The 22,633-nt window shown below is 50.4% G+C and overlaps 2 protein-coding genes and 2 long non-coding RNA genes across 18 annotated transcripts, besides 10 other annotated features; 2 read left to right on the forward strand and 2 right to left on the reverse strand.

Moving 5' to 3' along the window:
• Nucleotides 1,657-2,157: an enhancer, noted in NCBI's record as "H3K4me1 hESC enhancer chr17:8187618-8188118 (GRCh37/hg19 assembly coordinates)". NCBI's record gives its function as "activates a minimal SCP1, AML or CMV promoter by ChIP-STARR-seq in primed H9 embryonic stem cells {active_cell/tissue: H9 hESC(primed)}" and the evidence as "EXISTENCE:reporter gene assay evidence [ECO:0000049][PMID:30033119]".
• Nucleotides 2,158-2,658: an enhancer, noted in NCBI's record as "H3K4me1 hESC enhancer chr17:8188119-8188619 (GRCh37/hg19 assembly coordinates)". NCBI's record gives its function as "activates a minimal SCP1, AML or CMV promoter by ChIP-STARR-seq in naive H9 embryonic stem cells {active_cell/tissue: H9 hESC(naive)}" and the evidence as "EXISTENCE:reporter gene assay evidence [ECO:0000049][PMID:30033119]".
• SLC25A35 (solute carrier family 25 member 35) lies at nucleotides 5,120-12,757 on the reverse strand. Of its 12 annotated transcripts, NR_135484.2 has the most exons (8): nucleotides 11,790-12,757; nucleotides 9,880-9,945; nucleotides 8,690-8,842; nucleotides 8,199-8,333; nucleotides 7,960-8,035; nucleotides 7,211-7,341; nucleotides 6,931-7,000; nucleotides 6,217-6,754 (listed from the first exon to the last, which is right to left on the reverse strand). NR_135484.2 is itself a non-coding variant. In NM_001320871.2 (7 exons), exons 1-6 carry the CDS (start codon nucleotides 12,162-12,164, stop codon nucleotides 6,973-6,975), a joined length of 888 nt encoding a protein of 295 aa, NP_001307800.1. In that variant the 5' UTR covers nucleotides 12,165-12,757; the 3' UTR covers nucleotides 5,120-5,789; nucleotides 6,931-6,972. The 12 variants fall into 12 exon arrangements, 9 of the variants coding, with proteins under 9 accessions (NP_001307800.1, NP_958928.1, XP_047291956.1 ...); NR_135483.2 differs by having other exon boundaries at nucleotides 5,120-7,000; nucleotides 7,972-8,035; XR_007065297.1 differs by having other exon boundaries at nucleotides 5,120-7,000.
• Nucleotides 5,690-5,919: an enhancer, noted in NCBI's record as "active region_11692". NCBI's record gives its function as "activates an Ori minimal core promoter by ATAC-STARR-seq in GM12878 lymphoblastoid cells {active_cell/tissue: GM12878}" and the evidence as "EXISTENCE:reporter gene assay evidence [ECO:0000049][PMID:35858748]".
• On the forward strand, nucleotides 6,027-7,444 carry RANGRF (RAN guanine nucleotide release factor). Of its 4 annotated transcripts, NM_016492.5 has the most exons (5): nucleotides 6,027-6,222; nucleotides 6,313-6,429; nucleotides 6,615-6,771; nucleotides 6,860-6,945; nucleotides 7,170-7,444. In NM_016492.5, exons 1-5 carry the CDS (start codon nucleotides 6,146-6,148, stop codon nucleotides 7,291-7,293), a joined length of 561 nt encoding a protein of 186 aa, NP_057576.2. In that variant the 5' UTR covers nucleotides 6,027-6,145; the 3' UTR covers nucleotides 7,294-7,444. The 4 variants fall into 4 exon arrangements, with proteins under 4 accessions (NP_057576.2, NP_001171272.1, NP_001317056.1 ...); NM_001177801.2 differs by having other exon boundaries at nucleotides 6,860-7,444; NM_001330127.2 differs by lacking the exon at nucleotides 6,860-6,945.
• Nucleotides 6,280-6,399: an enhancer, noted in NCBI's record as "active region_11693". NCBI's record gives its function as "activates an Ori minimal core promoter by ATAC-STARR-seq in GM12878 lymphoblastoid cells {active_cell/tissue: GM12878}" and the evidence as "EXISTENCE:reporter gene assay evidence [ECO:0000049][PMID:35858748]".
• Nucleotides 6,480-6,529: a silencer, noted in NCBI's record as "silent region_8179". NCBI's record gives its function as "represses an Ori minimal core promoter by ATAC-STARR-seq in GM12878 lymphoblastoid cells {active_cell/tissue: GM12878}" and the evidence as "EXISTENCE:reporter gene assay evidence [ECO:0000049][PMID:35858748]".
• Nucleotides 6,680-6,749: an enhancer, noted in NCBI's record as "active region_11694". NCBI's record gives its function as "activates an Ori minimal core promoter by ATAC-STARR-seq in GM12878 lymphoblastoid cells {active_cell/tissue: GM12878}" and the evidence as "EXISTENCE:reporter gene assay evidence [ECO:0000049][PMID:35858748]".
• Nucleotides 12,477-12,556: an enhancer, noted in NCBI's record as "active region_11695". NCBI's record gives its function as "activates an Ori minimal core promoter by ATAC-STARR-seq in GM12878 lymphoblastoid cells {active_cell/tissue: GM12878}" and the evidence as "EXISTENCE:reporter gene assay evidence [ECO:0000049][PMID:35858748]".
• Nucleotides 12,577-12,626: an enhancer, noted in NCBI's record as "active region_11696". NCBI's record gives its function as "activates an Ori minimal core promoter by ATAC-STARR-seq in GM12878 lymphoblastoid cells {active_cell/tissue: GM12878}" and the evidence as "EXISTENCE:reporter gene assay evidence [ECO:0000049][PMID:35858748]".
• Nucleotides 13,247-13,376: an enhancer, noted in NCBI's record as "active region_11697". NCBI's record gives its function as "activates an Ori minimal core promoter by ATAC-STARR-seq in GM12878 lymphoblastoid cells {active_cell/tissue: GM12878}" and the evidence as "EXISTENCE:reporter gene assay evidence [ECO:0000049][PMID:35858748]".
• On the reverse strand, nucleotides 18,745-22,207 carry LOC124903915 (uncharacterized). The gene is made up of 2 exons (XR_007065606.1): nucleotides 22,048-22,207; nucleotides 18,745-19,029 (listed from the first exon to the last, which is right to left on the reverse strand). It is a non-coding gene; the product is annotated as an uncharacterized LOC124903915 (long non-coding RNA).
• LOC124903914 (uncharacterized) lies at nucleotides 21,358-22,422 on the forward strand. Its single transcript, XR_007065605.1, has 2 exons — nucleotides 21,358-21,806; nucleotides 22,196-22,422. It is a non-coding gene; the product is annotated as an uncharacterized LOC124903914 (long non-coding RNA).
• Nucleotides 21,872-22,260: a transcriptional cis regulatory region, noted in NCBI's record as "candidate enhancer chr17.641 targeted for multiplex CRISPR interference". NCBI's record gives its function as "positively regulates SAT2 gene expression with high confidence in K562 cells {active_cell/tissue: K562}" and the evidence as "EXISTENCE:mutant phenotype evidence [ECO:0000015][PMID:30612741]".

Genomic DNA, 22,633 nt, shown 5'->3' on the forward strand with positions numbered 1-22,633 from the left:
GTCAAGTTCTTTATTGTACAACATCTTTTAAAAGGGCCTAACTGGTAAATAACCTATCTCTTAACTGCCATCCAATAAATACAGGCCAGGCCCTGTACAAGTCAGTGGAAAGTTGATGGTGAAAAGACAGACATGGACCCCTCTCTCCTGGTGCTTAGTGTGTTACACAGTGAGGCGCCTGCAGTGGTGACAGGAGCATAGCAGCACAGCAGGAGCCAGCAGTTAATCCACAAATGTTTTCTGGAGATCTGAGGATGAGCTAGCTAGGGAAGAAGGGGGAAAGAAAGTTCTAGGCAGAGGGCATCACATGTGCAAATGCCCAGAGGCATGAAAGAGGTTGACTCAGTCAAGGGATTGAAGAAAGTTCAGTGTCTATAAGGAGAAACAGACTATAAGGGGAAAATGGCAGGGCGCAGTGGCTCACACCTGTAATCCCAGCACTTTGGGAGGCAGAGGCGGGTGGATCACCTGAGGTCAGGGGTTCAAGACCAGGCTGGCCAACATGGTGAAACCCCATCTCTACTAAAAATACAAAAATTAGCCAGGAGTGGTGGCACATGCCAGTAATCCCAGCTACTCGGGAGGCTGAGGCAGCAAAATCACTTGAACCCGGGAGGTGGAGGTTGCAGTGAGCCAAGATCATGCCACTGCACTCCAGCCTGGGCGACAGAGCGAGACTCCGTCTCAAAACATAAAAAAAAAAGACTATAAGGGGAAAATGATGGGATATGGGGCTGAAAAGTTGCAGGGAAAGGACTGACAGGTATAGAATTGCTCCAAACACGAGGACACACTGGTCTTCCTCAGACACTAACTTCGTTATAGCAGGCCTTTGTGTATTGTGTATCTACTGTGGCTACCACTGATTGCCAGACAATCCTAAGCATCTCCCCAAGGCAGGTTTCTCAGCCGGGGACTAAGCTGGGTCACAAACTAGATCTCATTACAGGATATGAACTGTAGCACGCCCTAGCTCTTCCTGTTCAGGCTGAAGGCCCAGAAAGAAGGGCCATGTTTTACCCATTTTTAGACCCTCTCCTAAAGCCTAGTACAGGGCTAAATACACAAAATACTTCATAGCTGGGTTTCTTAGTCTTTAGTCAATGAGCTTGGATAAAAATTTCATCTTTCTTTTTCCTTTTTTTTTTTTTGAGACGGAGTTTAGCTCTTGTCGCCCAGGCTATGATATTTTGAGACAGGGTCTCCCTCTGTCACCCAGGCTAGAGTGCAGTGGCATCTCGGCTCACCGCAGCCTCAACCTCCCGGCTCAAGCCATCCTCCCACCTCAGCCTCCCAAGTAGCTGATACTACAGGTGTGTACCACCACTCCTGGCTCTTTTTTTTTTTTTTTTTTTTGAGACAGGGTCTCCCTCTGTCACACAGGCTGGAGTGCAGTGGCATGATGTCGACTCACTGCAGCCTCAAGCTCCCAGGCTGAAGCAATCCTCCCGCCTCAGCCTCCCCAGTAGCTGGGAGGTGCGAGTCACTATGCCCAGCTAATTTTTGTATTTTTTTGGTAGAGTTGGTGTTCTGCCATGTTGCGCAGCCTAGTCTCGAACTTCTGGGCTCAAGCAGTCCTCCCTCCTGGGCCTCCTACGGTGTTAGGATCACAGGGGTGAGCCACTGCGTACAGCCATGTTTTCAGTAACCTTTTAACTGAAATTTAGCATTTCCTTTCACTGTGAATTTAGGTAACAAACCACAGTAGTATTAGCAGTATCTGTGGTTTCATCTCAATAGCAGTTACAGATATGCTTACTTTAGAATGGCTGTGGATATCTTGAACCATAATTTGTATGCATTGCTAGTTTTTTATTACATTTATTAGAGACTGCTGCTAGATCTAGTTAATATGATAACAAAGAAGTAGACTTGTACTCTATCAAATATCTGGGTTTAATTTTCTTTTTTATTTTTTGAGAAACAGTCTGGCTCTGTTGACCAGGCTGGAGTGCAATGGCGTGATCTTGGCTCATTACAACCTCTGCCTCCCAGGCTCAAGTCATCCTCCCACCTTGGCCTCCCAAGTAGCTGGCACTACAGGCATATGCCACCATGCCTGGCTAATTTTTTTTTTTTTTTTTGGTAATAGAGACAGAGTCTCACTTTGTTTTCCAGGCTGGTCTCAAACTCCTGAGCTCAAGCAATCTGCCCACCTAGGCCTCTCAAAGTGCTAGGATTACAGGCGTGAGCCACCGCACCTGGCCCATGCCTGTAATCTCTTTGAGAGTCCAAGGTGGGAGGATGGCTTAAGCCCAGGAGGTTGAGGCTGCAGTGAGCTGTTATCATGCCACTGCACTCCAGCCTGGGTGACAGAATAAGACCCTGTCTCAAAAACACAGAAAAAATAAAAATAATAACATTACACCGAATAGGGGATCATGGGCTTCACAAAACTGCCAAAGCAGTCCACAGTAGAAAAAAGGACGAAAACCCCTGCTTAATAGAAATATTCATTGTCCTAACTCAAAGGAATGCTTGACTTTGGGTGTGGTGTTGTCTCTCTGATCTGAGTCCATCTCTTGGTGCCCTAAAGGGGAGAGTCTCTGGGACTCTTGTCCCCATAGCAAACAACTGCATCAACTGCATGCAGGGCATTGGATAAGGGAATGTCCCAGGTGTAGAGAATCAATCAGTTGCAGGCCTACTTGCAACCAGTGGGCTGACAGCGAGCCATACCCTCACATTCGCCTGAGAAAAGTGGCTGCTGGCCTTCTCTCTACTGAGATTTGTCCCCTGATACTTATCATCCTAGCCACAGCCAGCTGGACCAGAGATCTCCCTTGTGTTTGGGTGGTGGCCTGAGGAGTGGCCAGGCAGGAGAGCCGGCCAAATAGGTACTTTCAGATTGAATAACAACTAATCGACCCAGTTGGATCCTGTCCCTTGGGAAGTTGGAATTTGAACACTTGAGGGAGTCGACAGGTGGCAGGGCCAGCAGAATTGACAGGCACACAAAAAAAAAGGTGAAGGGAGAAGGGGAAGTGGAGCCAAGCGTGGGGATTTGCCAAGTGAGGGTGGCCTTCCACCCCATTCATTCAGAGGAGGTCTGGCTGAGCAGCCCCCAAGAGCCCACAGAATTGTGGAGGGCCAGGGGTCCCCAGCTGCGTAGGGCTCATGGGAGAACATGAGACAGGCCAGACACCCAAAATGAGGAAGTTGGGGGGGCTTTTTTCTCAGCCTTCCTGACCTGGCGTGACCTCCTCTGGGCCCATGTAACAGGCCTCCACACCCCCTTATGCCTGGTGCAGGCACCCTGTTAACTTCTATGTCCCTGTAGGTCCCTTTCCAAGGACTCTACCTGCTTGACTGCTCCCAAAGCAGCCAGAGCCAGTATTGCCCCTGGTGGGGAATGGAGCTGGAGAGCAGGCTGGCAGCAAGGAGGAGAGAGGGACAGAGAGGTCTGTCACTCATTATCCCAGAGAAGCATCATGGGGTGGACTCCTCTGACCTGGCTCCTTTTGTTTCCCATGGCTGGGGTCCTTCTTTCCCTCTAGAGCCTGTAACGCCCCCGCTCTGTCAAATTCCTCATACAGCAAACTTATTCTACTCTCTTTACCCAGAAATAGGTCAGACTCAACTACATCCATATCTGATTTCTTCCTTTGTTTTTTTTTTTTTTTGTATGTTTAGTAGAGACAGGGTTTGACCATGTTGGCCAGGCTGGTCTAGAACTCCTGATCTCAGGTGATCCACCCACCTGGGCCTCCCAAAGTGCTGGGATTACAGGTGTGAGCCACGGCGCCTGGCCCCCCAACAGCATTTTAGAGATGAGGAAATGAGACTCAGAGAGGAGTCTGATGGCTATAGTAAGAAATGAGGAGTCAAGCTCCTTAGTGTGCGCTACAAAAACCCTGCACACCTGACTGTGTTTGCAGCTCCCTGCCACCCATTCCCATCCTACCCTCCCTTGCCAAACAGATACACTTGCTTTCTCCAAAATATGCCCTCTCATCTCCAAGTTTTTGCTCCTGATGTTCCCCCAGCTAGAATACCCCTAGGATGTCCTACTGAATTCTGAGTCAAACTTTAAGACTCAAAGTATGGGCCAGGCATGGTGGCGCATGCCTATAATCCCATCACTTTGGGAGGCCAAGGCAGGAGGATCACTTGAGACCAGAAGTCCGAGACCAGCCTGGGCAACACAGTGAGACTCCATCCCTAAAATAAAACACACACACACACACAAAAATTACCGGAGCATGGTGGTGCATGCCTGTAGTCCCAGCTACTCAGGAGGCTGAGGCAGGAGGATGGCTTGAGCCCACAAGGTTGAGGCTGCAGTGAGCTACGACTGCACCACTACAGTCTAGTCTTGGCAACAGTGAGACCGCCTCTCAAAAAAAAAAACAAAAAAAGACTCAAAGTGTGCTCCACTGTTCCTTCAGTGAGGCATCGGGGGCTGTGTCCTAAATGTCTTTGTATCTCCAGCCCTTCACATTAGGGCCTGGCAAGGTAAGAGACCAATAAATATGTACCCTTTGGCTTCATTTCACTAAGTCATTAGGGTCCAGAGGTATGGTCAGCACTTGGAACCCTGTGGAATGGCCTCAAGATCAGAGTCCTCTTGCCCAATTCTTGGCTGGGAAGTAGGTGACATCTAGAATCCATGAGGGTATGGGTGATCTCCTGGGTTCCAGACATTTGCATTGAGTTTATTCAATCACTTAACAATATATATTAGGTCTGGGCTGGGCACGCTGGCTCACGCCTGTAATAATCCCAGCACTTTGGGAGGCCAAGGCAGGCGGATCATCTGAGGTCGGAAGTTCGAGACTCACCTGACCAACATGGAGAAACTCCATCTCTACTAAAAATACAAAATTAGCTGGGTGTGGTGGTGCATGCCTGTAATCCAGCTACTTGGGAGGTTGGGGCAGGAGAACAGCTTGAACCCAGGAGGCGGAGGTTGCAGTGAGCCAAGATCATGCCATTGCACTCCAGCCTGGGCAACAAGAGTGAAACTCCATCTCAAAAACAAAACAAAACAAAAAAACCCAATATATATCAGGTCTGTTATGCTCTAAACACCGTGCCGGGTGCTGAGGATCAAAGATGAATAGAGAAATGAACTGAAATGATATAGTGAAGTTAAAACTTAAAGAACACAACAAATCTGTAAAAGACAAACAAAAGAGGGTTTAATCTGTGCTTCTGTCCAGGTGTGTGGAGCTGGGGGTGGGGTTGCACCTGCCCGGGAGCATTCCCAAGGCAAATATTTGAGAGGAATTAGATTTCTAATACCCAGGTTGGCTCTCACTTTCAGGAAGATGTGAGACCTGAATCCTAACCTGGACGCATTGTTCCCCTAATTCCCAGCAGCAGATCTATGAATTAGCGGTCTGGGTGGCAGCCCATTCTTCTTTCAGAGGCCCAGAACACCGTGAAACTATGCTTTCCTGACTCAAGAGACCCTACCTAGACGTGGGCCCCTTTGACGAGCACCTGCCCCTCAGGAGGGTCTCAGGCGACCTTCTTGGAAGGTGTGACCACTTGAAAAGGACGAGGAGGCCAGGCGCTGTGGCTCTCGCCTGTAATTCCAGCACTTAGGGAGCCGAGGCGGGAGGATCGCTTGAGTCCAGGAGTTTGAGGCCAGCCTGGGCAAGATTGGGAGACACTCCCCACCCCGCCCCATTTCTACAAGTAATTAAAAATTTAGCCGGGCGTGGTGGCGGGAGCAGGAGCCACTCAAGAGGCTGAGGCAGGAGTATCACTTGAGTCCTGGAGGTGGAGACTGCAGTGAGCGGTGATCGCGCCACTGCATTACAGCCTGGGCGACACAGCGAGACCTGTCAATCAATCAATCAATCAATCAATCAAGAGGAGGCTGGCGGGAGCATGCTCGTGACCACCGGGGGCGACATAGACCCTAACCCTAAGTCCAACCCCAAGGCAGACCCCACCGTCCCGCCAGGCGCACTCCTAAGAGCGCGGCTTCCGGAGCAAAGCCGCTGACCCCCGCCCCCAGGGTCTTGGCGCCGATTGGCCAACGAGAGCGCAGGGCGGAGCCAAATCTTAAAGGATCCGGGAGCTAAGCCAGACCCGGGTGGCGGTGGCAGCTGCGAAACCCAGGGAGCCGATGCCACGTGACCCAATGTGGACTTCTTTTAAACCTTTCTAATGCCCATAACCCAGCCTCAGACCCATGGAGCCCACGAGAGACTGCCCGCTGTTCGGGGGCGCCTTTTCCGCCATCCTCCCCATGGGGGCCATTGACGTAAGGTGAGAAGGCCGGGGCGCCCAGGGGCGGCTGACTGGGTGGGTTGTGGGAAGAGACCGGGGTCAACCAGGGTCTGCCTCGCCTCACTCCAGCGACCTCCGACCGGTCCCGGACAATCAAGAAGTTTTCTGCCATCCCGTGACGGACCAGAGCCTGATAGTGGAACTTCTCGAGCTGCAGGCCCACGTACGGGGCGAAGCGGCTGCGCGGTGAGGGAATGGCCCCCGGCTGGCCAATGGCAGGGGCGGGGTCGGACCAGTGGGCGGGGCCCGCGGCCGACGGTTAATCCGGGCGGTGAGACCACGCACGGGCCGGGAGCCAGGCCTGCAACTTAAAGATGCTCCCGGGGAGGCGACCAGAGATGTCCCTTCCTGACCCCGCTTCCCTACTCCAGGTACCACTTTGAGGATGTTGGTGGCGTGCAGGGGGCTAGGGCTGTCCATGTGGAGTCTGTTCAGCCTCTCAGTTTGGAGAACCTGGCCCTGAGGGGCCGCTGTCAAGAAGCCTGGGTCCTCTCTGGCAAGCAGCAGATAGCTAAGGAAAACCAGCAGGTGAGGGCCCGAGAGTGTGTAATGTCCTGGAAGGGCGGTAGCGGGGACGCAGAGATCCAGGTAAGCATCCTGACTCTGATCCCCTTAGGTAGCAAAGGACGTGACACTTCATCAGGCCTTGCTGAGGCTGCCCCAGTACCAGACTGATCTCTTGCTTACCTTCAATCAGCCCCCGTAAGGAGGAAGGAACGGGCGGGTATCTCATGACTGGGTTCCCAGGAGAATCGGGCTGGGAGGGACAGAACAGGGAGACTCACTGGTGGGATCCTCCAAGGAAGCAGGAGTGGGCCAGAGGTTTGGGGTAACTGATACCCAGGTCCTCTGGGGAACAGGAATTGGCAATTTCCAAACCTCAGGCCTGGATGATGTTCTGTCTCCATCTGTTCCCCCACCCCAAGCCCTGACAACAGGTCATCTCTTGGCCCCGAAAATCTGTCACCTGCACCCTGGAGCCTGGGTGACTTTGAACAGCTGGTGACCAGTCTGACCCTTCACGATCCTAACATCTTTGGTCCCCAGTAAAGGCGCTGAAGCACTGCATGATGTTGCTGAGAACTTGGGGACTCGGTTCTGTGAGGGGGAAAAGAGGTTGAAAAGAGGGTTTCCTCTTATTTCTTCCCTGTGCGTAAACATAAGACAATCCCTCTTCAGAATAAACTTGCTTTATAATCAATATAATCTCTGTGCCTTTGAATCTAACAGGACACCTGGGTCCCAGACGCCTGGGAATTGGGTCTCTCGATTCCCTTTGGTTTTGGAGGGAGGAGTTTAAAACTGTGCATGGGAGCAGGAGGGACTCAAGGGTGGCAGTGGTGAGTGGGAGGAAATACACTTTGGGATGACTCGTTCAGCCCTGAGAGAGGGGTGTGAGTTACCCAGGGAATGGGTAGGGAAGGTTTAAAGCAACACCCAAGGAAAGAAGGGAAACTCATCTCTTGTAGTGATTCAACCCTGAGAACAGATGGGGAGTGGGGTTGGCTGTCCCCCATGGATGGATGAAAGGTCACCTAATCAGTAGTCACCAGGACATAGTGGTGGAGGCACAAGTGGCCAAGGAGTGCTCATTTGGTGGAGACTGGGAAAGCGGCTGTTATTTAGTGTCTGTGTAGTAGAGGGAGCGCAGCTGGTCCCAGAAGAAGAGGGAGAGGATGGTGTGGGGGCCGAGGCGGAAGTAGGAGGCACCTATACCCTTGTACATGCCAAAAATGCCCTCGGTCCGAGCTGTCTGCAGCAGAGCGTCCAGTATCCCCCGGTACATGAGGCCCTGAGAGTGTGTCAGAGAGGGAGGGAGAGCACAGAGAAGGAGTTTGTCAGAGCCCACCAGGGGCAGCACCTCTACAGGCTGCATTTCAGGCTATCCCACCTGCACCCGCAATCTGCCTTCCCCATCCCCTGCTTCCCGCCTGCATCCCAGAGCACTTCCTTACCTTGCCCTGTGCATCTGTGGGCTGGTTGTAGAGCCTTGTGCAGGCCACATCAAAGGGTGCCATGGCCAAGACAACTGCAATGCCACTCATCATGGCAGCCACCAGCGCCAACTTCCAGCTCTGGGGAGGAAAGATCTAAGGGGGTAGAGAGGAAGAGCGTTGTCAACCAGCCAACTATTACACCCCAAGGACAGGACAGTCCCTGCCCTGGGGACACAGATGCTGGTAACTGGGGGAGCTTCCACTGCACCAGTTATAACAGTGCAAAAACAGTGAGAAGGAGGAAGGCCAGGGTACCCTGAAGGCTCAGGTACCCCTTCTGGGAGGAAGTGACAAGAGAACTGTGGGAAGGGTCTAAAGAGTTGACCTCCAAGCCCTCCTGCCACTCCCTCACCTGTGAATGTTGGGCACCATCCCCTCCAGGGCCTAGTGCAGCTTGCCCTCCCCTTCCCCCCTTCCCGAAACAGACCCACCCATTTCCCAGGCAGTACCTCCCACTGGCTCAGGAGGTCCTTGGTGGATGAGAAGGTGCACAGCTGGGTGGAGGAACCGACGATAACTCGGGGCAGGCCGCCCAGAGCCCCACGCCATAACCCCACCAGACCATGTTTCTGGCCAATCTCGGTTAGCGCCTGAAACATGCCCTAGTGTGGGGAAGACCGGGGGTGGGGTTCAGACAGCCCAGCATCAGGGGCTGCCATCCTAACACTGCCAAGGATGGGTCCTTAATAGGAATCTCTTGTCCAGACAACCAGTTCAATGTGGGCTTAGAGCCAGAATGTGGGCCCTTGGTTGTCTAGCCACCCCATTGTTCCTTCCCTGGGCACCCAAGAACTGGGGCGGGATGTATGCAAGTGAGGCCATTCACTGGTCAGGAGAAACAGGGGCAGAAAATTAGAGGAACTGGAGTACATATTGGAAAGAGGCATCAGGCACGGTGGCTCACGCCTGTAATCCTAGCACTTTGGGAGGCCCAGGCGGGTGGATCACCTGAGGTCAGGAGTTTGAGACCAGCTTGGCCAACATGGTGAAACCCCATCTCTATTAAAAATACAAAAATTGCCGGGTGCAGTGGCTCATGCCTGTAATCCCAGCACTTTGGGAGGCCGAGGCGGGCGGATCACAAGTTCAGGAGTTCGAGACCAGCCTGACCAACATGGTGAAACCCCATCTCTACTAAAATTACAAAAATTAGCTGGACGTGGTGGCGCATGGCTGTAATCCCAGCTACTCAAGAGGTTGCAGCAGGAGAATCACTTGAACCCGGGAGGTGGAGGTTGCAGTGAGCCAAGACTGCGCCACTGCACTCCAGCCTGGGCAACAGAGCAAGACTCTGTCTCAACAAAACAAAACAAAACAAAAAAAATTTAGCTGGGTGTGGTGGTGCACGCCTGTAGTCCCAAGCTACTCGGGAGGCTGAGGCAGGAGAATCACTTGAACCCGGGAAGCGGAGGTTGCAGTGAGCCGAGATCGTGCCAATGCACTTCAGCCTGGGCAACAGAGCGAGACTCCATCTAAAAAAAGAGTAAAGAGGGTCTGGGTAGACTCCAGGGGCAAAATGGGACAGAACCGATGGGTTGAGCAGAGCAGTGGCTGGGATTGGATCTGTTGGGTGCAGGCAGAAAGCTAGGGGAAAAGAGAAAGGATGGTCAGGGACTTTGGCAGACTTGGGAACCCTCACCTGATGCTTATACTGGTGCCCTACAGCAATTTCTGAGGCTGCCTGTGCCTGCAGGTGTGTCTTCACCTGGGAACAAGAGAATATCATAGCCTGTGCCCCAGTGGCCATCCTCCTACCTGAGAACCAAATGTCTCACCCCCTCACACTTCCTCTAGGGTGTTCAGCAATGAATAGCCTCTTACTCTGATTATTGTTCTTCCTACTTAACAAACTGGTTAACAAAAAGACTCTGTCTCTAGGCTCCAGCCCCAGGGGGGTGGATCTCCCAGCACTGCAAGACACCCCAACCCCTTCATATCCTCTTTCCCTTGGGGCTAGCAGTCGGGGGTGGAGTGGTTGGAGAATGGCAATATTTCCTAAGGCTGTTCATGTTAGGCAAGACCTGGTGTCCCGCCTCTCATGCTAGCTCCCATTCCCAGACTGGATCTCCAGCCACCACTTCTATCAGGCTCCCCATCAGACTCTGGGCAAAACTTGCTCTCTAGCCCCCAACCCCCACAGAGGTATCGAGCTGACTTTGGGGAGACCACTGTCCCTGAAACTCACACCTTGAAATGAGACCAGACTGCCTCTGCTACAGGACATACTACTTCCCCGTCTCTTTTGCTCTTGGGAGCACTAAGCAGGGCCTAGTCCTAGCAATAAACAGCTGTGTGACCTTGAGTGGGTCACTTCCCCTTTCTGGGCCTCAGGCTCTTGACCCTTCACCTATACCAGATAACTCAAAGGGGCAGATGTTGAGATTGTTAATTCTGTGATGCCCAGGGCCTTCCTGATCCCTAGACTCTCTGACGTATGTTAAATTCCTTATCCTCCCCTTCACAAATCCAACCTCAATATCAACACATAATAATAAAAACAAATGCTACCAAATGCTTACTGTCTGCCAGGATTCGCACTAATGCTTTCATGTCTACCGCATTTGTCTCCCTCGATCCTCCCAATAATCACACAGAAAGGGCACTATAATTATCACCATTTTACAGATGTGGCAACTGAAGCTCAACAACTAGTAATTTTCTTTCTTTTCTTTTTTTTTTTTTTTTTGAGACGGAGTCTCTCTCTCTGGCCCAGGCTGGAGTGCAGTGGCCGGATCTCAGCTCACTGCAAGCTCCGCCTCCTGGGTTTAGGCCATTCTCCTGCCTCAGCCTCCGGAGTAGCTGGGACTACAGGCGCCCACCACCACGCCCGGCTAATTTTTTGTATTTTTAGTAGAGACGGGGTTTCACCGTGTTAGCCAGGATGGTCTCCATCTCCTGACCTCGTGATCCGCCCGCCTCGGCCTCCCAAAGTGCTGGGATTACTGGCGTGAGCCACCGCGCCCGGCCAACAACTAGTAATTTTCAAAGCCAGGATTTTAGTTCCAGAAAGTCTGATTCCAAAGCCCATAATCTTTTTTTTTTTTTTTTGTGAGACGTAGCCTTGCTCTGTGGCCCAGGCTGGAGTGCAGTGACCGGATCTCGGCTCACTGCAAGCTCCGCCTCCCGGGTTCATGCCATTCTCCTGCCTCAGCCTCCCGAGTAGCTGGGACTACAGGCGCCCACCACCGCACCCGGCTAATTTTTTGTATTTTTAGTAGAGACGGGGTTTCACTGTGTTAGCCAGGATGGTCTCCATCTCCTGACCTCGTGATCCGCCCGCCTTGGCCTCCCAAAGTGCTGGGATTACAGGTGTGAACCACTGCACCCGGCCCCAAAGCCCATAATCTTAATCAATACATTCAATCGTGTCCATCAGATGGGTGTGTATAGGGCAGATCAGAAGACTCCGAAGCCTACCAGCACTTTCCTGATGCCTTTCCCTGCTTGCAGTGGGGCAGCACTCTGCCACCTATGCCCTTGGGAAAGAACAGCTCCTATCCTACAACGAGGATCTGCCCTGAAGGTCCCAGGCAAGAGCCCTCTTCTTACCATGTAGATGGGGCTCCCCAAGTAGGCTCCCATGACCCCAGCCATGGCCCCAGCTGCTGCGCTGCGGGCAGGACTGTGGGTGCCTTCGGCTGTGTGCAGGTAGCCCCCAGCCTCAGCCAGCCCATAGGTGCCCAGTCGGATGCCATTCATCAGGAACTGGTACAAGAGGGCGGGGGCCAGGCCTTTCTGCAGGGCAGCAAGGCCATCCACCTTGCCGATGGTGATGAAGGCATGGAAGACATTTCGGTAGTGCCGCTGGTATGTGCCAGGGGCCTGCAGTTCTCCTTGCAACTGCATCCTGGTCTTCACCACCTCCAGGGGATTGGTGAATACACAGGCCCCGCAGGCTGCCAGGCCACTCATCAAGAAGTCCATGGTGGGATAGCTGTAGCAGGAACTGACCCAAGAGTAAGAAAGTAAAAATGGGTGTCAGAAAGCGGGGTTGGAAGACAGGGGGAAGGCCTGTTTCAGCAGTACAGGTTGCAGAAGATAAGAATTTAGATTTGCAGTCAAGGGTGTCAGGGTCAAATGTCAAGTGGTCAAACGTCAGCTGGAATTTGGGAGTCAAGAGCTGGCAAGCAGGGAAGAGATAGAAATCTAGGAGATTCTGGTGAGAAGCTTAAGGCAGGACCCTCTGAGGTCAAGGAGGGGCAAAAGACAGAAGGTTGCAGGTGGGATGGCTCAGGATGGCGGGCGACGGGAGCACGGGAGTAGAGGAGGGAATCGCGGGGTTGGGAGATGGAAGCCAGGGAGGCAGGAAGAAGAAAGCCAGCAAGTGAGAGAAGAAAAGGATCCGGGAGAAGAGCCGGTGATTTCCTCGAGCCAGCAACGAGATCTCGATCCGAGAAAGAAGTCAGGACTCTGGCCAGGAATGAGCGTCCCTGAGCGTCCCCAGGCAGCCACCGGAGCTCGCAGTAGCTTCAACCCCGGGTAGCCTGCGGAGGCCGGGCCGCCACACTCCTGCCACTGGAGCGCGGGGCCAATGGGGAGCCTTCAAGAGCCACAACCGAGGCCCTCAGCCAATCAGCGCCGAGCCGGCTCCGCGGCCAAAGGGAGGAGCTCTCGGCGCTCCTGTCCCCGGAATCACCCGGAGGCGGTTGGAATTAACTGTCCAGGCTCCGCCACCAGCGCTCGGCCGCCGACTCCGGCTCCGGAAGGGAGGCCCGGGACGCGGCGGTTTTGTTATTGGCAGGGAAGAGACCTGGGTTCCCGATCGAACACAGAGGCCGAGCGCAGCAGTCCCCCACTGGGGTGCTGGGACCGCCCCTCGGGTGGGCGGACGGCTTTAGCTTCCTACCCCGGGTTGTGACCGGGTGGGGTCACATAAGTTCAGGTCCACGCCCTGCTCGGTGCCGGCGCCAGGAGAGCCAGGAAGACGCGGCCCGGCTTGCGGGGGGTAGAGGGACACACTTGCGCTGCGGGACCAGTCTCCTGAGGCTGCACGGGTTGGTGCTTGGTTAATTAAATCCTTAGTCCTTAGGCTCTTTATTTTTATTTTTTATTTTTTTTGAGACGGAGTCTCGCTCTGTCGCCCAGGCTGGAGTGCAGTGGCGCGATCTTAGCTCACTGAGAGCTCCGCCTCCCGGGTTCACGCCATTCTCCTGCCTCAGCCTCCCAAGTAGCTGGGACTACAGGTGCCCGCCACCACGCCCGGCTTATTTTTTGTATTTTTAATAGAGACCACCGTGTTAGCCAGGATGGTCTCGATCTCCTGACCTCGTGATCCACCCGCCTCAGCCTCCCAAAGTGCTGGGATTACAGGCGTGAGCCACCATCCCTGGCCTGGAGTTCTTTCATATGAGATATTTGTCTCTACTCCTCCATTATTTATTCAACCATTTATTTAATCAGTATGGACTCATGGACATTTATACTTTGGGTTATAATCCAATATACTTCATATTTATTTTCTAGCTAATTTCGTTCTAGCTTTGGCCTTTGAGAGCTGTTTCCGTTGGCTCCTGTGTCTCTTTAGCATACCCCCATCCATTTTTTTTTGCACACAAAAGTTTTTAGTTTATAAATCTTGTGAAAAATCCACAGTGGCCACAGATGTTACTGTAGCATCTTTACTCCTTTGGCTTTTTGCCACACCAACACTGTCCTTTGCAGTCCCCCTTTCTTCATTCTGGTCTTGTGTTCCTTTCATTGCTTTCTTGAGTTCTTTTCTTCTCATCCAGGCCATGTCTTGGAAGTCAGCATTTGGGTTTATTTTTCTTTGCATAATCCAGTGAATCATAAATCATGCCAAAGCCAGTTGTCTTGCCACCACCAAAATGAGTTCTGAATCCAAATACAAAGATGAGGCCAGGCGTGGTGGCTCACGCCTGTAATCCCAGCACTTTGGGAGGCAGAGGCAGGCAGATCACATGAGGTCAGGAGTTTGAGACCAGCCTGGCCAACATTGTGAAACCCTGTCTCTGCTAAAACTACAAAAATTAGCCGGGTGTGGTGGCAGGCACCTGTAATCCCAGCTACTCGGGAGGCTGAGGCAGGAGAATCACTTGAACCCAGGAGGCAGAGGTTGCAGTGAGCCGAGATTGCGCCACTACACTCCAGCCTGGGTGACAGACGGAGACTCCATCTCATAAAGACAAACAAAAACAAACAAAGATGATGACATCTAGTGTAGTCTCATACATTTTGGCTAGTTTTTCCTGAATTTCTGTCTTAGGTACTGTTGTCTTCCCAGGGTGAAGGACCTCAATAACCATTTGTTCCTCCTGAAGTATGTAGTCAGTTGATCATGAACTTCCTAGTTCAGATAGTTACTAAGTCATTCATGATGGCGGTCAATCCTCAACCAGGGAGAAAAATAAGAGTCCCATCAGTGTTGTTGTCATCATTGGTATTTTAATTAAAACCTTGTTTTTATTTAGTGTCACCTTACTTTCTGGTACTATAAAATGCTCCAGGCTCATTTTGTGTATTTCCTGCCACAGTCCTGCAATCAGCCATTTCTCCAAGGACCCCTATTTTCTTTTATTGGCAAATGGTTTTAGAATCCAAGATCTGGGCCCTAGGTGTGCTTGTTGCTTTTGAGGTATCATTGCTTCTGGACCCTCACATCTGAGAAAGCAAGGAAATATATGTGTGTATACTAACCCACGTATATACACAAACATGTATTTCCATATATAACCATCCATATCTATATTAAGCTAAGCATGAATTCATACTGATGTCTCCAACTTTAATCCATTACTACATGGATCATTCTAGCCACCTCCCTTGTTTATCTAAACTCCCACCCCAACTGTGAGAAACCTGGCTTCCATAATTTGCCATCTATTTACTTAATTGTTTATTCCAGGACACGTGTATAGGAGTATCAGAATTGTTTTGTTTTTCTTTTTAAATTCTTTATTATTATTATTATTATTATTATTTGAGACGGAGTTTTGTTCTTGTTGCCCATGCTAGAGTGCAATGTTGCAATCTCAGTTCACTGCAACCTTCACCTCTCAGGTTCAAGCGATTCTCCTGCCTCAGCCTCCTGAGTAGCTGGAATTACAAGCACGAACCACCACACCTGGCTAATTTGTTTTTGTATTTTTAGTAGAAACAGGGTTTCACCATGTTAGCCAGGCTGGTCTCGAACTCCTGACCTCAGGTGATCCTCCCGCCTTGGCCTCCCAAAGTGCTGGTATTACAGGCATGAGCCACTGCACCCGGCCTAAACTTTTTCTTCTTTCTTTCTTTTTTTTTTTGAGATGGAGTTTTGCTGTTGTCGCCCAGGCTGGAGCACAATGGCATGATCTTGGCATACTGCAACCTCTGCCTCCCGGGTTCAAGCGATTCTCCTGCTTCAGCCTCCCAAGTAGCTGAGATTACAGGCATGCGCCACCACGCCTGGCTAATTTTGTATTTTTAGTAGAAACAGGGTTTCTCCATGTTGGTCAGGCTGGTTTGCGAACTCCCGACCTCAGGTGATCCACCTGCCTCGGCCTCCCAAAGTGCTAGGATTACAGGGGTGAGCCACCACACCCAGCCTAAAATTTTTCTTTATATGTGCCAGGCACAGTAGCTCATGCCTGTAATCCCAGCAGTTCGGGAGGCTGAGGCAGGTGGATCACCTGAGGTCAGGAGTTCAAGACGATCCTGGGCAGCATGGCAAAACCCCGTCTCTACTAAAAATACAGAAATTAGCTGGGCGTGGTGGCACGCACCTGTAGTCCCAGCTACTTGGGAGGCTGAGGCACGAGAATTACTTGAACCTGGGAGGCGGAGGTTGCTGTGAGCCAAGATCGCGTCGTTGCACTCCAGCCTAGGTTACAGAGCAAGATTCCGTTTCAATAAAATAAAATAAAATATTTCTTTATTTGTAATCATAATGTCTCAAAAGAGAATTGTTAACACATACCCCTGTGGAGAACAATCTTATAAACTAGGGTACAGTGCTTATGTGTAGTTCCATTTGCCTTTGATCTTACAGACTCGACTCATTTCCAAAATTACTCAGGTCAGCACCTTTCCCCCAGCTCCCTTCAGAAAAGTTATTTCATACATTAGTAGTATCATTAAATTCTTTTGCCACAATCTGCCTTCCATATTGGGTTCCCTGACCTCCTAATTTTTTTTTTAATTAAAAATATCAGGAGTCAAAAAAAATAAAATAAAAAAAATATCAGGAGTCTGGGCGTGGTGGCTCACACCTGTAATCCCAGCACTTTGGGAGGCCAAGGCAGGCAGATCACCTGAGGTTGGGGGTGTGAAACCAGCCTGACCAACATGGGGAAACTTCTTCTCTACTAAAAAAAATACAAAATTAGCTGGGGGTGGTGGCGCATGCCTGTAATCCCAGCTACTCGGGAGGCTGAGGCAGGAGAATCACTTGAACCCCGGAAGTGGAGGTTGCAGTGAGCAGGAGATTGCGCCATTGCACTCCAGCCTGGGCAACAAGAGTTAAACTCTGTCTCAAAATTACATCTATCTATCTATCTATCTATCTATCTATCTATCTATCTATCTATCTATATATATATATATCAGGGCTGGGCATGGTGGCTCAGGCCTGTAATCCCAGCACTTTGGGAGGCTGAGGTCAGCGGATCATGAGGTCGAGAGATCGAGACCATCCTGCCCAACATGGTGAACCCTCATCTCTACTAAAAAAAAAAAATACAAAAATTGGCCGGGTGTGGTGGCTCATGCCTGTAATCTCAGCACTTTGGGAGGCCGAGGAGGGCGGATCACCAGGTCATGAGGTCGAGACCATCCTGGCTAACACAATGAAACCCCATCTCTACTAAAAATACAAAAAATTAGCCAGGCGTGGTGGCAGGTGCCTGTAGTCCCAGCTACTAGGGAGGCTGAGGCAGGAAAATGGCATGAACCCAGGAGGCGGAGCTTGCAGTGAGCCGAGATCGCGTCACTGCACTCCAGCCTGGGCGACAGAGTGAGACTCTGTCTCAAAAAAAAAAAAAAAAATTGAGGCCGGATGCAGTGGCTCATGCTTGTAATCCCAGCACTTTGGGAGGCCGAGGTGGGTGGATCACCTAAGGCCAGGAGTTCGAGACCAGCCTGGTCAACCTGGTGAAACCCCATTTCTACTAAAAATACAAAAATTAGCTGGGTGTGGTGGCGGGCACCTGTAATCCCAGCTACTCGGGAGGCTGAAGCAGGAGAATCACTTCAACCCAGGAGGCGGAGTTTGCAGCGAGCCGAGATCGCACCACTGCACTCCAGCTGGGCAACAGAGCTAGACTCCGTCTCAAAAAACAACAACAACAACAACAACAAAACAAACAAACAAAAAAAACCCAAAAATGTATAATTAGGCCCAAGGTCACCTAGATTTTCTTTTATGTTTTCTTCTAGAAGCTTTATAGTTTTACTTTTTACATTTAGGTCTATGATCCATTTTGAGTTAATTTTTGTAAATTATGTGAGGTCTGGGTTTGGTTTCTTCTCATCCTCCTCTCTCTTTTCTTCTTTCTTCTTTCCTCCTCCTCCTCCTTCGTCGTCTTCTTCCTCTTCCTCCTCTTCTTCTCCTTCTTCTTCTTTTTCTCCTTCTTCTTTCTTCTTCTTCCTTTGGTCCTTTGTAAAAAATCTGTTTTCTATATTTGTGTGGCTCGATTTCTGTGCCCTCACTTCTGTTCCCTTGATCTGTGTGTCTAGCCTTTGACCAATATCATGCTGTCTTGATTTATTGTAGGCTGTTACCATTTTTTCCTGGATGTGAATGTCATGAATCAGATTTGAGAGGAGTTGCATAGGGAACGTAAAAGTCCCCAGGTGTCTGAAAGAAGGGGTGGTAACATAGAGAGGGAGCGAGAAAGACGGGGAGGCTTGGAGGGCAGGGGGCTGTGTCTTTCTTGCCTCTTCCTTGGTAGCCTAGACACTGATGGGTTCCTTTTGGCTGCTGAGCGCGCACCCGAAGTGCTCAAACTCCACCTAGTGGTGGTGAGGAAGGATCGTCTCTGTGTATCCTCACCTGGGCCAAAACCTGTATAAATTCCCAGAGCAGGCCAGCTTTTCCTTACTGCTTCTTCCTGATTTATCCCCCATCACAGGCAGGCTACCTACATTAACAGCTTTGCAGACAGAAATGAGGCCCAGGTGTTCTGTGCTCCATGAAAGAGTCTACTGGACTTCCAAGTCCTGGCCCTACCGGAGGGAGCTGGACTCAACACTTCTTTTATTAGAAGCTCCCTTTATAAGGGATTGTTTTGTTGTAAGTGACAGAAATCCAACTCAAACTAGCTTACAAAAAGGGAACTCATTGACTCACACAACTGAAAGCTCCAGACACACACATGACTTCAGGCCAGCAGAATCAGGCACTCAAATCTGTCTCTCTCCACCTCTGCCATGTATCGGTTTTATTCTCAGGCCACCTCACTGATGGCCACTAGCAGCTGCAGGCCCATATTCCACCAGCTTAGCATCCTCAGTGGAAATGTAACTGCCCAGTGGGCTCTTCCTGTCCTCTGCACAAATAAAGACCACGGCATTGCAGTAAAGAAAGAGTTTAATTGACACGAGGCCGGCCATGCCACATGCAAAATTGATTATTACTCAAGTCAATCTCCCTGAAAATTCAGAGATCAGGGTTTTTGATAATTTGGTGGGTAGGGGGTCAGAAAGTGGGGAGTGCTAATTGGTTAGGTGGGAGACGAAATCACAGGGAGTTGAAACTCTCCTCTTTCACTGGGTCGGTTCCTGGGTGGGGGCCACAAGAACAGATGAACCAGTTTATTGATCCGGGTGTTGCCAGATGATGCTTTGAGTGCAGGGTCTGCAAAATATCACAAGCACTCATCTTAGGTTTTACAAGAATGATGTTATCCCCAGGAGCAATTTGGGGAGGTTCAGAATCTTGCAGCCTCCAGCTGCATGACTCCTAAACCAAATCTTATTTATTTATTTTTTTTTTGAGACGGAGTATCGCTTTGTCACCCAGGCTGGAGTGTAATGGCATGGTCTCTGATCACTGCAACCTCTGTCTCCTGGGTTCAAGCGATTCTCCTGTCTCAGCCTCCCGAGTAGCTGGGACTACAGGCGTGCGCCACCACACCCGGCTAATATTTTGTATTTTTAGTAGAGACAGGGTTTCACCATGTTGGCCAGGCTGGCCTTGAACTCCTGACCTCGTGATCTGCCAACCTCGGCCTCCCAAAGTGCTGGGATTACAGGCATAAGCCACTGTGCCCAGCCGAAACGGGAGTTTTATTACATTATTACTCAAATCAGTCTCCCCAAGCAGAATCAGTTTTTTGTTTGTTTGTTTGTTTGTTTGTTTGTTTTTGAGACGGAGTCTCGCTCTGTCGCCCAGGCTGGAGTGCAATGGCGCCATCTTGGCTCACTGCAAGCTCCGCCTCCCGGGTTCACGCCATTCTCCTGCCTCAGCCTCCCCAGTAGCTGGGCCTACAGGCCCCCGCCACCACGCCCGGCTAATTTTTTGTACTTTTAGTAGAGACGGGGTTTCACCGTGTTAGCCAGGATGGTCTCGATCTCCTGACGTCGTGATCTGCCCGCCTCAGCCTCCCAAAGTGCTGGGATTAGAGGCTTGAGCCACCGCACCCGGCTACCAGAATCAGAGTTTTTAAAGATCATTTGGCGGGTAGGGACTTGGGAAGTGGGGAGTGCTGATTGGTCAGGTTGGAGATGGAATTGCAGGGGGTCGAAGTGAGGTTTTCTTGCTGTCTTCTGTTCCTGGGTGTGATGACAGAACAGGTGGTGCCAGATTAAGGTCTGGGTGGTATCAGCTGATTCATAGAGCCAGCGGCTGCATGACCCCCAAACTAATTTATAATCTTGTAGCTAATCTGTCAATTTGTTAGTCCTGCAAAGGCAGACTGGTCCCCAGGCAAGAAGGGGGTCTTTTCAGTTAAGGACTATTAACAATTTTGTTTCAGAGTCAAACCATGAACTGAATTCCTTCCCAAAGTTAGTTCAGCCTACGCTGAGGAATGAACAAGGACAGCTTAAAGATTAGAAGCAACATGGAACTGGTGAGGTCTGATTTCTTTCACTGTCATAATTTCCTCAGTTATAACTTTACAAAGGCGATTTTAAGACCCTGTCTCAAAAACAAACAAACAAACAAACAAAAACTATCGTGATCCACTCCCCCTACTCTGCTCTGAAACCTTCAGGGCCTGTCTGCCCGGTGTGATTGCTCACGATATGGCCTCCATGTGTCCCTCTTTTCATTTCAGATCAGTTTGTTTCCCTTTCACGGTTCTCCAGACGTGCCTACTTTCCTCTTCGCTGTGCCTGCGCTTCCCTGGATTCCCACAATGCTCCTTCATGCCCTGCCTCTTGGCTTGGCTAAACCCCTCTGCCTGATTTTAAATGAACAGTCAAAGTGCCTCTTCTCCCTGACACCCACTTTTTCCAACCAACAGGTCAATGACATGAGGAAGACCGAAGGAGGCTGCTGGGTGTGGACACAAAGAGATGGAGCAGACGCTTATGGGCTCCTTCATCCTTCCAGAACAGACTCTCCAAGCAAAGTCTAAACCAGTCACATTGAAGCTCCTAGGGTTACTTCATTAATAATATTTCAGGCCGGGCGTGGTGGCTCACGCCTGTAATCCCAGCACTTTGGGAGCCTGAGGCGGGAGGATCACAAGATTAGGAGTTCAAGACCAGCCTGGCCAATATGGTGAAATCCCGTCTCTACAAAAAGTTAGCCAGGCGTGGTGGCGGGCGCCTGTAGTCCCAGCTACTCGGGAGGCTGAGGCAGGAGAATGGCTTGAGCCCAGGAGGCGGAGGTTGCAGTGAGCCGAGATTGCACCACTACACTCCAGCCTGGGCAACAGAGCAAGACTCTGTCTCAAATAATAATAATAATAATAATACTTCAAAAAGACTTCAAATTGAAGTCTTTTTTTTTTTTTTTTTTTTGAGACGGATTCTCGCTCCGTCGCCCAGGCTGGAGTACAATCGTGTGATCTTGGCTCACTGCAACCTCCGCCTCCTGGGTTCAAGCCATTCTCTGGCCTCAGCCTCCTGAGTAGCTGGTATTACAGGCTTGTGCCAACATGCCTGGCTAATTTTTGTATTTTTAGTAGAGACGGGGTTTCATCTTGTTGTCCAGGCTGGTCATGAACTCCTGACCTTAAGTGATCTGCCTGCCTCAGCCTCCCAAAGTGCTGGGATTACAGGTGTGAGCCACCACGCCCGGCTGCACTAATTATTTGTAATGGTAAAGAGTGTAAGCTTCCCTAGGAGGACTGTCTCCCAGTTCTGCACTAGGGGATAAATTGTAATGGTCAAGGTTCTTTCAGCAGTAAGTGACAGAAAACCAGCTAAAACCAGCTCAAGCGCAAAAGGGAATGTCATGCCTCTGGAAGCTGGGAGGTCCAAGGGACTCAAATATCATTGTAATCCCCAGCTTTTTTTTTTGCTCTGTCACCCAGGCTGGAGTGCAGGGGCGTGGTCTTGGTTCACTGCAGCCTCGAACTCCTGGGCTCAAGTGATCCTCCTGCCTCAGCCTCTGGAGTAGTTGAGACTACAGGCATGCGCCACCGCCAGGCTTCCTCCCTCTCTTGGCTCTGCTTCCCTCAGGTATGGGGCTCATTTTCTCCCACTGTTGACTGGCTTCCTCCTTTTCCAGGGGAAGGAAGTAGGCCAAGGTATAGACAGCTCCTGACTTAGATTGTTCCTGCCTTGTGAGCTTGGAGGAAAGAGAAAGCTTCTCTTTCTCAGAGGCCCAGAAGCTTCTCTTTCTCCTGGAGTCTGTCCTGACCTGCTCATTCCTGGACCAGTCTCTGTGGCCAGAGGAATACGGCACTGTGATTGAACAAACCTGAGTCACGTGGCCAGAGGGAGGCTGTTGTGATTGGCTGTCCCACTGGAACCACATGGAGTCGGGTGGGTGATGGAGAGTTTCGTAGGAGATGGACACTGCTGTTACCAGGAAGATGAAATCTATTTGATGCAACATTATATTCCAGGAAACGTTATAGCTGCAAAGACCACGTAGCGACATGAAAATTGGTTATAAAGCAATGCTAAGAGAACAAGGCAGAAGACAGACTTGAAACTATGATGGCACATTTGGAATATGAAAAAATAGAAAACTTTTGCTCTGTAAGGGTGGTAGAAGAATGAATTATTACGTCAAAAACCTTCAGTGTCTTTGCAAAAGTATTTTATAATAAATAACGTGTGCATGCACAAATAGTCTCATGTTTACTGCATAATATGATTTTCGGAGCTCAGTTTCTTTTTGTAATGAGATAAGACACAAATAAAATAGATGGTGATATTGACAAAAAGAGTCAAACTCTGTAAAATATTTGAAGAGATTTATTCTGAGCCAAATATGAGTGACCATGGCCTGTGACTCAGCCCTCAGGAGATCCTGAGAACATGTGCCCAATGTAGTTGGG

Source organism: Homo sapiens, chromosome 17, assembly GCF_000001405.40.
Source record: "Homo sapiens chromosome 17, GRCh38.p14 Primary Assembly".
NCBI classification, from domain to species: Eukaryota; Metazoa; Chordata; class Mammalia; order Primates; family Hominidae; genus Homo; species Homo sapiens.